This window comes from Homo sapiens, chromosome 12, assembly GCF_000001405.40.
Source record: "Homo sapiens chromosome 12, GRCh38.p14 Primary Assembly".
In the NCBI taxonomy this organism is placed as follows: Eukaryota; Metazoa; Chordata; class Mammalia; order Primates; family Hominidae; genus Homo; species Homo sapiens.
Genome location: NC_000012.12, coordinates 26,840,652 through 26,857,072, shown reverse-complemented (window position 1 = coordinate 26,857,072; position 16,421 = coordinate 26,840,652). Strand labels below are relative to the sequence as shown.

At 39.3% G+C, this 16,421-nt stretch overlaps 1 annotated feature.

Moving 5' to 3' along the window:
• Positions 11,703–11,997: a silencer, noted in NCBI's record as "tiled region #14818; HepG2 Repressive non-DNase unmatched - State 12:CtcfO". NCBI's record gives its function as "represses a minimal TATA promoter and a strong SV40 promoter by Sharpr-MPRA in HepG2 cells {active_cell/tissue: HepG2}" and the evidence as "EXISTENCE:reporter gene assay evidence [ECO:0000049][PMID:27701403]".

Sequence of the window (16,421 nt, the reverse complement as noted above, 5' to 3'; positions counted from 1 at the left end):
GTCCTAGTTCATTGCGAACAAAAGGCATTAGACTGAGCGCTCAGATATTTTCCACAGCAATCCTGTGAACATTCCCACTTCTGCACCTATCATCTTCCTGCTCCTTCTATTTTAATGAAAGAAGTGTCCCTCCTTCTTGAAGGGTCAGTCCCATCATTTGCTCTCTGGATCCTCTTCCATTTCCAAGGACTTCACCAAAACTGTTCTTGGCAAGCTCATTAGTGACCTCCAAATTGCCTAATTCAAAGGACACTTTTCAGTTCTTATCTTAATTTATTGCTCAGTAGCATTTGATACAGTTTTATATTTTTAATCTCATCCTGTCTAGTGAGTTTCAGTTCTATATATCCCAGTTAATTTACAAACATTACCAATTGGATGTGTCAAGCATCTGGAACTTCAGTCGTTCAAAACTGGACTTTTATCTTCCGACTCTTCCGAGAAGAGCCAAACCTATTTCCCTCCTGTTTTCCACACCTCATTTAGTAGCCCTATCATTTTCCCCATTGTCCAACCCATATGCTGGAAGCCATCTTTGATTTTTTCTCTTCCTTCCCACCTCCATCCAATCCATCATTAAATCTTTTGATTCCACCTAATTTTAAGCAAGTCAACTTCTTTTTCTACCACCACAGGCATTCATACCAATATTATTTCTTGCCTAGACTACTACATTAGCCTTCTCACTTGTGCACCTACATTAATTCTTGTTCTTTTGGGGTCCCTTCTTCACACAGCAGACAAAGCAATCTTGTGTCATATGTTGCTGAGCAGTAGGCCTGCAAGGTGTCCATTAGACAAACAAGTACAGATGTCTAGGCAGTTGGATATAGACTTTGGGGTTCAAGTTGGAGTGGAAAATTTGTGAGTGAAGGTAGACTGAGAAGAGAGAGGTCCAATGTCTGAGCCCTGGGGCACTCTATTGTTTAAATGTTGAAAATATAAAAAAAGAACTAGCAAAAGAGACTGAGAAGTAGTGCAGTACAAGGAAAACCAGTAAGTGTGGTGTCCGTGGAAGCCAAGAAAATGTATCAAAGAGGAGGGAGCCATCAGCTGTACAAAATGCTGCCAGTAGGTCAAGTAAGATGAAGACACATAAATAACTGATCATTCCTTTAGCATCATGAAAGTCACAGGTGACCTTGACAAGAGCAGCTTCAGTGGATTAATGGGGCAGAGCCACAGAGTTTAAAAGAAAATGGGAGGGGAAAAACTAGAGACAGTAAATATACACAGTTCTTTGTGAGAGATTTTCTGTAAGGGGATTAGCTGGGGTTGGGGTGAGTTCATAACAGCAGGATGAGAGGCATAGAAAATGGCACAGATGCATTGGCAGGTGCTTGTGGAAATTCCGTTTTGATTGCTTCTATTTTTTCCTTGAAACAGGAAGCAAGACTATCAGCAGGTTGAGAGTAAGGATTGGGGAGAAGGTGTTGGCATTTGAGGAGGGGAGGGAGAAGGCATGAAGTAGTCATCTAACAGAAAGAATGGATTAAGAGAATGTATTATGACTCCCACACTCACTTGAGGTTCAGTAGTTATGAATTCAGAATGAGACTGGCCAGTGTGGTTTCACATTTTTCTCTAGTCATATGAGTTGGGGGTGCAGGAATAGAGTAGGCTGAACATTGGATTTAACCAGGGTTGGAGTTTATCAGGTGAATAATACAAAGAAGAAAAGGACAAAGAGAGTTGAAGATAGTGCATGGGAATGATTGTAATAATTAACTGTAATCCAACTGAGTTAGAAGGGAAAATAGGGCATGTGAGAGGCTGGTTACCACGTAATAGTGGTGAATCAATGGGATTATGGGGTTGAAGGCTGCTGGAGTTAGGGTATTTAGGGGGTGCAAGTAGAAAGATAGGATGTAGATGCTAGTAAGGGAGTAAGCTGCTTGAAAATGATATTGGGCCAGGTGCAATGGCTCATGCCTGTAATTCTGGCACTTTGGGAAGCTGAGGTGGGTGGATGGCTTGAACCTGGGAACTCAAGACCACCTGGGCAATACATGTACACTTCATCTCTACAAAAAATTAGAAAAAAATTAGCCAGGCATGGTGGAGTGCACCTGTGGTCCCAGCTACTTGGGAGTCTGAGGTGAGAGGATCACCTGAACTCAGAAAGAGGAGGCTGCAGTGAGCTGTGATAGTGCCACTGTACTCCAGCCTGGATGAGAGAGTGAGCCCCTGTCTCACAAAAAGAAAGGAAGGAAGGAAGGGAGGGAAGGAAGGAAGGAAAAAGAAAAGAAAGAAAGAAAGAAAAGAGAAGAAAAGAAAGAAAGAGAAAGAAAGAAGAGAGGGGAAAATATATATTATGGGTTGTAACTATTGGTAATTGGTAATGATGGATCAACCACATGCTTATAGAGTGACGGGCTAAAGCAGAGAGGAGGAATTGGGATTAAGCGAAAGACCAGGTAGGTCATTTATATAGATATTGAAAGTATTATGAGTTGTGACCAGAAACGTGTTGGCAAGAGTAACAGTTAGCTAGGAGCTAAATCTGCAAGGAATTGAGGATGATTCAGGGGTCCATAGGTAACTGTGGCAAGGATGAACAATGTATATTTATAGTCTGATTACATCAAATATTCAAACCTGGGAGCCACAGGGCAGTAAAACTAAAAAAAAAAAATAATGCTAGAATGTAATAGATCTCATAGAATAGTACAAAGTGCTCTCAGAATACTTGTTAAATGGTTTGTTAAAATATGTATTGCTGGGCCTCACCCCTCAGAGTTTCTGCTACAGTAGTTCTGGGATGGGATCTGATAATTTGCATTTCTAACATATTCCCAGCTGACGCTCTGATGATGGTCCAGGAACCACACTTTGAGAGCCTGTGTGCTAGGAACATTCAGAAGGGGAAGGGGTTGCTTCTGGTTGGAGAGATCAAGGAAAGTTCCTGGAGAATATTTTTTATTTATTTCTCTGCATGTGGTTAGAAACAGTGGCTTGACATAATCAAATACCATACATTGACTAATTAGAAGAAAAGTTGTACTTTTATGTTGGGTTACATATTTCCCGGCTCTGCAAGTCAGAAGCATAGAGGAAATGTAGTTCCTTCATTTGTCTAAAACCTCACTGTCTGCTGCTGATCTGATCAACGCACGGCTCCACCTGCTGGATGGCCAGGAAACGGCCACTTCAGTCACTTCTTTAAAATTTGATCCAGTGACAAAAAATGTAAACAATCTCTTGAGGTAAATGTCTACTCTCTTTTGAAGAAAATGTGTGATCTTTCAGATTTCACCTGGCGGTATGTGGTTTTGTGACCTTGTGGCTGTGGGGGGCTGGGGTTCCGAGGTCCACGTGATGTCCTCGTTCTGTGCTCAGGCCTCTCTGGCGCAATGTCTCTTGTCAGGTTGCTGCCCGTTCTGTTGGCACTCCTGGCTGAGGTCCACCAGAGGTTTAACCTATGTCTGGGTCACTTTCTCAGTTTGATGGAGCCCAGTGGTTCTCCTTGACTGACTTGGCAGTACCTTGCTCATTGTGGTCCTTTCTGAGTTTCTGCCCTGTTCTCTATCTGGCCCCTGGCCCAGTGGATGATGGGATCATCTCACCCTTTGCCACAGAATTGGGAGGGATTTGCTGCAGTGGCCCTGCGGCAACCCCACTGGGTCTCAGTTCATGTGCCTTCACATTCTCACTCTCGGGACCAGCACTTTGGCTCCTATCTGAACCATATAGGAGTAGAGGTAAACCTGGGGACCTGGCTTTAACCTCCCTTTCTGCCCCATTACACCGAGTCACAGCTTTTTCTCTGACATGGCACCCCACTTGTCCGCATTAGTGTGAGGAGTGCCCAAGAGGCAGCCTCCCCTCCAAACCCTACTGGAAGCAGGGCAAGACCCCTGTCCCCAGCATGGGCCTCAGCTGAGCTTTAAAGACCCAGCGTGAGCAGGTCAGAGCATCGCACTTGGCCTCCTTGCTTCCTCTCTTGTCCTTTCTTTTACTCTATTTCATGCATTCTAAGATGCACTCTCCAACCCCCTCCATATTTTCACATCTTTGAAATGGGGTCTTAGAATTCCTGTCATGTTCTAGTTTAATTAGCAGAATGTTTTTCTTTCTTGGTGGTATGGTGGTGCACCTTGTAATCAATGCTGTCTTAGACTCTATCAAATGCAGCATGTCTTCATTTCTCCTGTATCACATTTTCCTACCTTTCACTTTAGCCGCAGTGCTGAGTGCATTAATGGCACCAAAGGCACCTTCCCTACCCTGTGGCAGATGGTCTTTGTTAAGTGGGAGACAAAGAATTTAGTAAATTCTTTTGCCACCAGCCTGGATTTCTAGCTTACTGTCTTGATCAAGAAGCCCCCAAAAGTCCATTCTAGCCATTGTACAATAAGCCTGCAGGCTTGATATCTGAGGTAGAAACCTGATTTAAGGGGTTGGGAGGTATAAAATGGCTCCATTTAATACTTGCAAAATGAATACGATACCTGTTACACATTTAAAAATCAGAGCAAAAAATACTTTCATAAGGGTATTTGCTGATAGTGATGGCAACAGTTTCAAATATGTGGTCATCTCAATAAATTTTAATTGCTAATAATAACTAAATTTCTAAAATTAATTGGAAAGTATTAATATAGATTGAACTATCTTTAAATTCCTTATAATTGAAGTAAGCATTTGAAAAACAAAGCACATAAAATGTATTCATAATGGAAATATCTATTGCTTAGATATTCCAAATTCCATTTGGAAACCAGCTTTTCTCACTAAGGAATAGATATTATCTAGGATTGTCCCATTTTTATAAAATATATTATCTGTATAAATATACATAAATAACAAATGCTAAAAGGGGCCAGGCGCAGTGGCTCATGCCTGTAAATCCAGCACTTTGAAAAGCTGAGGCAGGTGGGCCACTTGAGGTCAGGAGTTCAAGACCAGCCTTGCCAATATAGTGAAACCCCATCTCTACTAAAAATACAAAAGTTAGCCAAGTGTGGTGGCACACACCTGTTGTCCCAGCTACTCAGGAGGCTGATGTAGGAGAATCACTTGAACCCGGGAGATGGAGGTTGCAGTGAGCCAAGATCACACCACTGCACTCCAGCCTGGGCAACAGAGCGAGACTCCGTCTCAAATAATAATAATAATAATAAATGCTAAAAGAGTACACCGTGATGATTAGAGCACTTATCTCTGGAAGGATAAATGGGAGTTTTTTCCCTCTAATTAATCTTTATTTTCTATTTTTCTACTAAAGCATGATTTATTTGTACATTATTTAAAAATTAGGCATAGTTACTACAATTAGGATTAACAATGAAAAGATAGATTTGAAAAAGAAAATTATGATTTAATTTCTGATTTATGGATGAGTCACCCAATTTGTTTGGTCCTTAGTTTTTTCATTTCCACATTGGGAAAAAGATGATATTCATCTAGGTGTGGAGATGTTACCAAGTCTGGGAGTGTCCTGTTTGCAAAATCAATAGGAAAATTGAGTTCAAACAAAACAACAAAATAGAAAGGAAAGCACATACCTAAGCTTAAACTCAAGAAATTGGCTATTTCATAGGGCATGAATCATCCAGAGAGCTGCTTCAGTTCTCCACCTTGTTTTGCATTGTTAGTAAACACCAACAGAAACATCCACAAAACTAAGTGTTTTCATTTACCTACAAAATCTTAAATAATTTAAAAATATTAACTGAAGGTTATCTATAGAAATAGTCACCTTATTATTGCTATTTTAGGGACATTAAAGATAATTAATTTTGTTCATTCAGTCAGTTCTCATACTAGGATTGAGTAATATAAAGTTCATGATCATTGATTCCTTTCACTTCTCTCAGGCACACCCTCTACTCCTATAATACATCTTGGACTATGCAGTATGTTGAACAAACCGATGAATAAGGAATTTCCTGTTCGTCTGGAATAGTCAAGTGTTATAGTGACATACAAGAATTTTCATTTTAAAGTTAATGGTGACATTACAGAATGTCTTCCAGGAATATAGATTTGATCTTTAAACATAATTTGTTGCAAATTTACATGGTAATTTCCTCTAGATTACATGGAATTTGGCAATATAAACTTTGGCATTGTCCCACATAGAGAACAGTTACATTTTCTGCTAATAAAGTCCAATTTGAGAAATTCCTCTGTTAACTCAGAATGAAGATAAAAAATCCAATGGTGGACAAGCTAAGTACACAGCTGGAAGCTCTTAGGGTGTTTTTCATTACAAATTAGGAGATTGATAATAATTGAGAAAATACTCTTTATTTTCTTTGCCCAGAAATGTCACCAAAGAAACAAATTCTAGTAATTTAATTATATACCTCTCAGTCTTGCTTGCATTTACTCTTATCCTTCTTATTTTCAGACCTATAATGACAGCATTTCCCCCCTTTCTTCACTGTACCTATTTGAGTACAGTTCAACTGAGTACGAAAGTAATTCTGAAAATTCTAAAAATTATTAAAATATGTGATAAGTGGCAAAGTTGTTCTAAGCAGTCCTTATTAGGTTAGGCTGATAATTTTGTTATTAGAATTTATGTTTAATATTAATATTTACACAAGTCTGTGTCTTTATACATAGACCATGTTATTGAGAAGGGATTGTGATACGGAGGTTTTTTTCCTTGCTGGGCTTCAATGAGTGCAGGTGAGTTGAACATTGCCAATGAACAATAGGTAGTTGATGATAAGTGACATATGCTGATTTGATAATTACTACAATTTTCTGCTTTGGTTTGGCTTTGCAAACATTTCTTTATTATCCACATTACTACAGACTAACTTTAAAAAGGCATAAGACCAACTGTGTACCCTCAACGGCAATTTTTGCAAATATGACATGAACCCAAAATATACCATATATCTGATTAAAATTAATATGCAAATTTTAAGTCTGTAAAACTTTTTAGAAATTCATAATTTTGCCTTCTTTAGAAGTCATAAAACACATTTGCAAGTGTCATTATATTAAAAATACACTTCCAAAATAATATTCGATTATAAGATGTTCACACACACGAAGCAAACACTATGCATCTATTTCAATTTGGGATGAATAATGAAAACAGATAATAAAAAAATTGGCTTTTATAAGTAGAAAATACTGTTTACAGAAATGCTGAACCTTATTGCTTAGCTATTTTGTTGAGCTAATATATATATATATATATACATATATATATTTTGGAGAGAGGATCTTGCTCTGTCAGCACCCAGTCTGGAGTGCAGTGGTGCCTGGTCCCATCAAAGCCCACTGCAGCCTCAAACACCTGGGCTCAAGCAATCCTTCTGCCCCTGCCCCCTGAGTAGCTGGGACTACAGGCACACGCCACCATGCCTGTCTAATTGAAAGAAAATTTTTTGTAGAGACAGGGTCTTGCTATGTTGCCCAGGCTGTTAATATATTTTGTGATTGAAAATATTTAACATTCTTCTATTTAATACAAATAACTCACCTACCTTTTCTGTAATTGATAGTCTCTACAATTAATAATTTTCTTAAAATATTACGTTTTGAGGGTTTTTTTTGGCATGTATGACTTGGAGGACGTGTGTCATTATACTTATTGTTTATAAATGACCATGTATGGTTTGATTCTTTTTTTTCCCCCTCAGAGTATTGGTTTTCTAAACTCTTATTTCCTCCACCCCACCACGTGCTTTTTAACAACATATATGACCATATCTCCCTGTTACTGGAATGTGGCAGCTCAAGAAATTCAGGGGCTTAATTTTTATTGTGAAGTTGAAGCACAGTCCAGTTTAATTCGGCTTAACATTTTGTTTAGAAAATAAAGAGGAAAATAACCATTTTAGTAGTGGAGGAGATTTTGCCTGCTTCTCACTAGGGTTAGCTCCTGGAAAGAACATGAGAAGGGAGTTGTTCATTTGCTATTTTGTCTCAGTAGGCACCATGCCTTTGGGAGTGTGAGTACCTGACGGTTCTTGATGAGATTCTAATGCTTAAAAGGTAATTTTTTCAGCCTGGGCAACATAATTAGACTCCGTCTCTACAAAATATATAAAAAAAATAGCCAGGCATGGTGGTGCACACCTGTGGTCCCAGCTACTCAGGAGGCTGTGGTGGGAAGATCACTTGAGCCAGGGATGTTGAGGCTGCAGTGAGCCGTGATGGCACCACTGCATGCTAGCCTGTATGAAAAGTGAGACTCTCAAAAAAAATAAAAAAGTTTTGTTCTTTAGTTAATTCAGTTTTTACTTTAATTCTGATTTTAGATGTCAATCATCAAACAAGATGTAACTGGACTGTGTAATTCATAAAAAATTAATATTAATTTTTCCTTTTCCCCTTAGACCATTCTACATGGCTTACAAAAATGGTCTGATGTTTTATAAGGGATAGTTAAGTCCAACTCCTTGCAGGATCATGTATAACTACCACTTAACATAATGATTGCCACACAGTAGTTGCTCAATAAATATTTGCTGCATGAGTAAAATGACTGCCAGTATATCCCATTAACTTTCAATAAACAGGTACTAATTATTCAATTTATTTTTGAGACAGGGTTTGGCTGTATCCCTCACGCTGGAGTGCAGCGGTGCGATCTCCTGAATAGCTGGGACTATAGGTGCGCAACACCATGCCAAGCTTATTTTGTTTATTTTTTGTAAAGACAAGGTTTCACTATGTTGCCCAAGGCTTGGGATTACAGATGTAAGCCACCACAGACCAGTTACATTTTAAAGCATTAAAATGTTCATATCTGCTTGCTTTATGAATAGAACATTGTCAGATGATAACATAGTTTTTTCCCCCCCAAATCCTGTACCTGATTGGCTACAAGTTGACCCAGTCATGGTGCACACCAGTTTAGAGAAAAATGAAAGCTGATATTTTTATTAGTGTGGGGGAAGAAACGGGTGAATATTAAGAAGTGGAGGCTGGACGTGGTGGCTTACATTTATAGTACCAGCATTTTGGGAGGCTGAGGTGGGAGGATTGCTCAAGCCCAGGAGCTTGAGACCAGCCTGGGCAACATGGTGAGACCCTGCCTCTACAAAAAATAAACAAAGTTAGTCGGGTGTGGTGGTGTTATGCTCGTGTTCCCAGCTATTTAGGAAGCTGAGGTAGGAGAATTGCTTGAGCCCAGGAGGTTGAGACTGCAGTGAGTCTTGATCACACCAGCCTTGGCAACAGAGGGAGACCCTGTCTCAAAAAAAAAAAAAAAAGAAAAGAAAAAAAGAAAAAGTGGACTAAGGTGAAAGCATCTAATGCAACACTGACTTAGACAAAAGCTATATTATTAGGTTAGTGCAAAAGTTATTGCAGTTTTGCTATTAAAAGTAACTTTTGCACCAACCCAATAGAAACAACCACGATGGCTGGGAATAGTGGTGTGCACCCGTAGTCCCAGCTACTCAGGAGGCTGAGGCACAGGATCGCTTGAGCGCAGGAATTCAAGGCTGCAGTGAACTGTGATTGGGCCACTGCATTCCAGCCTGGGCAACAGAGTGAGACCTTGTTTTTAAAAACAAAAAACAAACCAAAACCATGAATGGTGCCTGATGACTGATGCTGTTTGGATTGATGGGATGTGTCTTAGCAGGGTGAGAGTAGAGAGAAAGAGATCTCTCTCCCAAAATATTCATCTTTGGTCGAAGAATAGGCTGACAAGAAGAAAATCTATAAGGAAAAAAAAAAGTTAGATAAACATCAAGTTAGAAGAAAATACTAATGACTAACAACCAGATGATAATTTTAAACTTTAAGAGTGAAAGTAAAGTTAATATAGAATTTTTTTTTTTTTTTTTTGAGACAGAGTCTCGCTCTTTCGCCCAGGCCTGACTGCAGTGGCGCTATCTCGGCTCACTGCAAGCTCCGCCTCCCACGTTCACGCCATTCTCCTGCCTCAGTCTCCCGAGTAGCTGGGACTGCAGGCGCCCACCACTGCACCCGGCTAATTTTTTTTTTTATTATTTTTAGTAGAGACAGGGTTTCACCGTGTTAGCCACGATGGTCTCGATCTCATGACCTCGTGATCCGCCCGCCTCGGCCTCCCAAAGTGCTGGGATTACAGGCGTGAGCCACCGCGTCCGGCCCAATGTAGATTTTTAATATAGTTGCTGAAAAACCAATATAATAGAACTTTATATGGATGTGTGTATGCCTGTGTGTTGGAGGAATGACATATATTAAGAATCCTTAGTATCAGAGACATAGGCAATTATGGAACAACTCTAGGAGAAAATATCCTGGACAACTGGGAATGGAGAAACTGTGGCCTGTGGGTAAAATAGCATGCTTTTCGGAAGCAAACAGAACAGTTACTGCTGGCTTAATCTACTGCTTAATCTACCTGCCTACCCTTTAGTTCCACACATTGCCATTTACACTTTCTTTCAGAAATTCCACAATACAGATGCTTAAATAGTCTCAAGGAAGTGAGCACATATTCAAAACCTGGTGTCCTGTTATCTCAGTTTACATACAAATATGGGTAGGAAGTGACGTATGGAGCAGGTGTCTATCATTTCAGGGAAATGAAAGTCCGTGTGAAGCAGCTGTGATGGGTATATTCGTACTATTTGAAAAAAATTTCGAGTTTTCTCTAGTGTAAACCTATTTCAATGGAAAAATACTGGATTAGATTCACACCTGTCTTAGAACATTCTTCAGAGTAGATGGAAGCTGATTTGGAAGAGCTTGGGGAGCTAAGTTTAGGTCCATATATTTGACTTATCTCTAAAAAGCTCCTATTGAAAAGAGTTTAGCATCTTACCTCTCTGTCAGTGTCTCTGTATCATTTATTGCAAGCTTTATTCAATGCAAAGCCTGCTCCAGTTTGATAAGCAGAGATTGTAACGGTGAGCGAGGCCACATCTGTGCTTAGCCGGGAGCTCATAGCTACCGCAAAAATGGTAACAAGTTTAGTTGCAACACTTTCCTGGAACATGGTACTCAGAAATAAGCAGACACCAGACACTGATAAGGTTGTCATGGAGAACTACATTCCAATCTTCAGAAATCTGTTTCTGCCAGGAAGGGTGGATTCAAATTCTACTGGCTTCTTGAATTTCCACATGTACTTTTTTCCTCTGAGATATTCTGAAAGATGCCAGGAGATACTGGCCCAGGAAAAATGAATTGCTAAAACGCCACGAAGCTGTATGTGCTGTCCTTATGATTTCATTACAAAGAACATGATAATCATTTTCTTAAAAATATGCACCTATAGGAAAAGATCAATTAAAACACCGAGAGGGAATTTCCCATCATGTCTTCTGCGCAGCGGAAACTAATGATTCCCTCTTTTACTGCTCTGCCCTCACTCTACTGTGCCATTATCAGATTTTGCTGGAAAAAGCCTTCCTTATAATTTTGGGGGGAATTTTTTTTTCTTAAAAGCAAATGCCATTTATTGTGGAACAGTTTATATTTTTCTTTAAAAAATAGATCCTCTCTAAAAGAAGAAAGGAGAAAAAATTACCATAGTTTTATTATAGTAGTATTTTTTGTTGATTATTGTTTTTTCCCTAGTGATTCAATCTTGCTTTTAAAGTCATCATATAGGCAGGGCGAGATGGCTCACACCTTTAATCCCAGCACTTTGGGAGGCTGAGGTGGGTGGATCACCTGAGGTCAGGAGCTCGAGACCAGCCTGGCTAACGTGAAACCCTGTCTGTCTCTACTAAAAATACAAAAATTAGCTGGGCGTGGTGGTGGGTGCCTGTAATCCCAGCTACTCAGGAGGCTGAGTATATGACATATATTAAGAATCCCTAGTATCAGAGACACAGGCAATTATGGAACAACTCTAGGAGAAAATATCCCGGACAACTGGGAATGGAGAAATTGTGGCCTCCAGGGGGCGGAGGTTGCAGTGAGTCAAGACCGTGCCACTGCACTCCAGCCGGGGCGACGAGCAAAACTTCGTTTCAAAAAAATAAAAAAAAATAAAAAAATAAAAATAAAGTCATCATATAAATCATTTTACATATTATTACATATTCTTAGTAAGAATTGCTTACTATACTCCCTGGCAGCTGCTACAGTGTAATCACTAATTTGCTACTGTTCAATATTTATTTTCTTCTCCATGCTTATTATTATTACTATGATAAACATAATTGTGAATAAAGCACTTTTCATACATAGGATTATTTCTTTAGGTTATATTCCATATGTCCACATTGCCATTAAAATGGTTGTACAAAATATGATATTGGCTGTTTGACTAACAGCATTGGTTACAATAACTAAAAACTTTTATTTTGCTAATCTAATGCATGAGAAATGATATCTCACTATTATATTACTTTTATTTTTTTGCCTATAACCAACCTTTTGCCTATAATATTTGTTGCAAACTATTCCCACTTTGTTGTTTTACTTTCAGTTGAGTTTTTTGTTACATTTTAAAAATAGAAGAAAAAATACATATATAATTTACCATCTTTACCATTTTAAGTATGCAGTTCAGTGGTAGTAAACACATTTATATCGCTTTTTGTTCCCTTCACTCACCCTTTCCCCTTCCCTTACTGGTGTTAGAATTTTTACATAAAAATTTAAAGTTGTAAGAATTAAACTTACTTCATAATTTGCTTTATGTTTTTATATTAATGCATATGTATTTCTAAGCATAGGTATCCCCTGTTCTTAAGATGGTAAATATTCAATTCCCTTTATTTTGGTGAATTTTGAATTCAGATGAATACATTAAGTCATTAAATATAAAATTAATTAATTTATTTTTGAGACAAGGTCTCACTGTGTCACCCAGGCTGGAGTGCAGTGGCACCATCATGTCTCACTGAAGCCTCAAACTCCTGAGCTAAAGAGATCTTCCTGTCTCAGCCTCTGAGTAACTGGGACTATGGATGTAGTTTTTAAAATTTTTTAAATTAAATTTTTTTTTTTTTAAGATGGGGTCTGGCTATGTTGCCTAGACTGGTCTCAAACTCCTGACCTCAAGTGATCCTTCCACCTTGGCCTCCCAAAGTGCTGGGGTTACAGGCGTGAGTCACTGCACCTGGCCCTGGATTTATTTTTAAGATACGTGATAGCTTAAAACTGCTAAACTAGTATTCTCCATGTAAGTAAATAACATCATTTCTTGTATAATCTCATGCTTTCCCATTGATTTCTTATACTTTCTTTTTTATATATTGAGTTCTTACAAATAATCAGGACTGTAGACTGTGGTACTGTGCCTATAGGTACAAAAAACAGGTACAAAACAGCTTCCTTCACATCTAGGTGTTCACTCTGAAACAAAAAGTACAACTCAGAGTTCTTGCCTTAAACAAATTGATGCTAATTAGTTGGGTAATCAGGATGTATACATCCGAAATAATGCACTAAAGTAGACCCACATTACTGCATTTCAAACTAGATTCATAAATGAGAGAAAACAAAGGTAAACTTGGGGGAATCACAGGGGTGAGAAAAAGGACTCCAGGAAGTTTTCCCTGGATTTATTCTCCCTGGTTTTGCCCAACCAAAGTATTATGTCTTCCCAAAAATCAGGAACCACAAGCATGGCAGCATTCTCTGGTGTTAGATGGCAGTTTTCTCTGTGGGTTTTATCCGCTACCTTCTTTGAAGAGATAAAAAGCTGTCAGCTTGTGGAAAGCAGAGTTCTCATGTGACAATTGTGGGTGGTTTTATAGCACCAGGCTGGAAATTTAGCCATTTTGTTTCTTTTGTCTCAAAATTTGCTTTTCCCTGATGTCTGAAACGTGTCTGTTAAAAAAATTGATTTCTTTCTCTTACACATATTTTTTAAAAAATTCAAATTCCTTGAAAAAGAAAAATTTAATAATTATCAAGAATTTTGCCCTGGCTCAGTGTGGCTCATGCTTGTAATCCCAGAACTTTGGGAGGCAGAGGCGGGTAGATCACTTGAGGCCAGGAGTGCAAGACCAGCCTGACCAACATGCAATACCTGGTCTCTACTAAAAATACAAAAAATAGCTGGGTATGGTGGTGGGGGCCTGTAATCCCAGCTATTCCAGAGGCTGAGGCAGGAGAATCACTTTAACCTGGGAGGCGGAGGTTGCAGTGAGCTGAGATGGCACCACTACCCTCCAGCCTAGGCGACAGAGCAAGACTCATCTTAAAACAAAAAACAAAAAACAAAAACAAAAAACAACAAAAAAAGAATTCGCTACAGTTGATGGAAGGGATTGATCTGTAAATGGCAGAGCTGGTGGCCCAGAGGCTCTGGAGACAGCTCTGGTGTGGGCTCAGTCACTGGCATGTCTTATTGCATAGACAGAAACACCTCTGATGCTTGGTTTTCTTATGACATTTCATGCTGCTTTTCTCACAGATAATCATAATCATAATAATAGCTAATATTTATTGAAGTTGGATGTGGTGGTTTATGCCTTGTAGTCCTAGCTCCTTGAGAGGCTGAAGCCAAAGGATTGCTTGACCCTGGAATTCTGGGATGCAGTGAGCTATGACTGCACCACTGCACTTCAGCCTGGATGACAGAGTGAGATCCTCTCTCTAAAAAACAGCAAAACAAAACAAAAAACATGAAAGGTTATTAAGCACTTTATGCCAGGCACCACATCAAGCCCCTTAAATGTAACTTCTAATTTAAACCTCACAAAGACCACATGAGATAGATACCATTATTGTCCTCATTTTACAGATAAGTAAAACGAGGCCCCAGAGGTTATGTATTTGCATAAAGCCTGGTAGAGAGTAAATTGTGAATTAGTAACTCATCCCAGGTCTATGCAATACTTGTGTCCTTAACTATTGTGGCATACAGGTATGGGATTCATTTAAGTGCCTGATAAATGCTTTCTGACATCTACATGGGAACATTAAATTGTATTTGGGGAAGAATCACTGCAAATTGAAGTAGGCAAGATTTTAGATATGCATACTTTTTTTTGAGACAGGGTCTTACTCTGCCGTCCAGTCTGGAGCACAGAGGCGTGATTTTGGCTCACTGCAATCTCTGTCTCCCGGGTTCACGCCTCAGCCTCCTGAGTAGCTGGGACTATAGGCATGCACCACCACGCCTGGCTAATTTTTGTATTTTTGGTGGAGATGGGGTTTCGCCATGCAGCCCAGGTTGGTCTCCTGGGCTCAAGCAATCCGCCTACTTTGGCCTCCCAGAGAACTGGAATTACAGGTGTGAACCACAGTGACTGGCTCATTTTTTTCTTAAAACTCCCCATTCTTTTCTGTTATAGAGACTGGGCCATTTTCTCTTTTCTTCAATATTTTGATGATTCTCAGCTCTAATTGATCATGGTTCTTAGAACCAAATGGTATCAGTTGTATCAGTTCTTCATAAAATACTTCTAATTACAACACCTCTCCTCTTTTTCATTTCCAAGCCCTTACAGAATTATGACATTAGGGTCAGATCAAGCCATAAGCGATTCAGCAGCAAGTAGTGTAAATACTTCTAAGAACTGTGACCCTCAAATAATATATATATATAATATTCACCATATGATTATGGTGAATATATATAATATTCAGAAGAATATTTTAATGGGATGTGAAGTTGGGAGTTTCAGTGGAGGCATCGAAATACCATCAGTAAGACCAAGATGCAAATTTTGAAAGGAAATATTTGACCACAAGGGATACAATGCTTAAAAATCTTTCTCCCAGACCAAGGATATGAAACAGTTGGGCTGTTGGAGATGTGAGTGTTTTGGAATGAGCTACTGCTCTGTTGCGTCTCACGCCGTACATACCCAGTGCAGGAGAGAAGAACGTGTGCATGCATGTGTGTGTGCGTGTGTGTGTGTGTCAGTCATGGGGAGGGAAGTCTTTGACTCTCAGATCTAATCTAGTGAGAAGAACTTCAAAGGCACCACATGGAAAGCTTATATTTGTCTCCTGCAGGTAGGGAAACACAGTAGATTGATGTCAAACTCTGGCTTTGGAAACAGAGAGGTTAAGGGTCAAAAGATGTGATAGACAATATTTTTGAGATGAATGTCAGACTTTTTGTTGCCTGGAGATTGGCCTGCATTTCCAGAGTTTTCCCAGGCTAAGATTGTTTCTTCTGGGCCACATCTTCAAAACAGATCTGGTTTGGGATTATTCTTAAATTCCTGTCCACTAGACAACACTCTGAGAGTGATCAAAACTGACACTGTCAACAAAGAGCAGATATAGCTATACATCGTGTGCCTAAGGTTAGGGTGCCCTGGGAAGAACACAAAATCACTTTTGTAGTATTCTGGCTAGAAATGCTTCATCAAATCTAAGTGTGAAATACAAGACAAATCCAATTATGGAACAGCCTATAAGTAAATGACTTGTATTCTTTTTTCTGTTTTTTTTTTCTGTTTTTTTTTTTTTTTTTTGAGACAGAGTCTTGCACTGTCATCCAGGCTGAGTGCAGTGGCGCGATCTCAGCTCACTGCAACCTCCACCTCCTGGGTTCAAGCAATTCTCCTGCCTCAGTCTCTTCAGTAGCT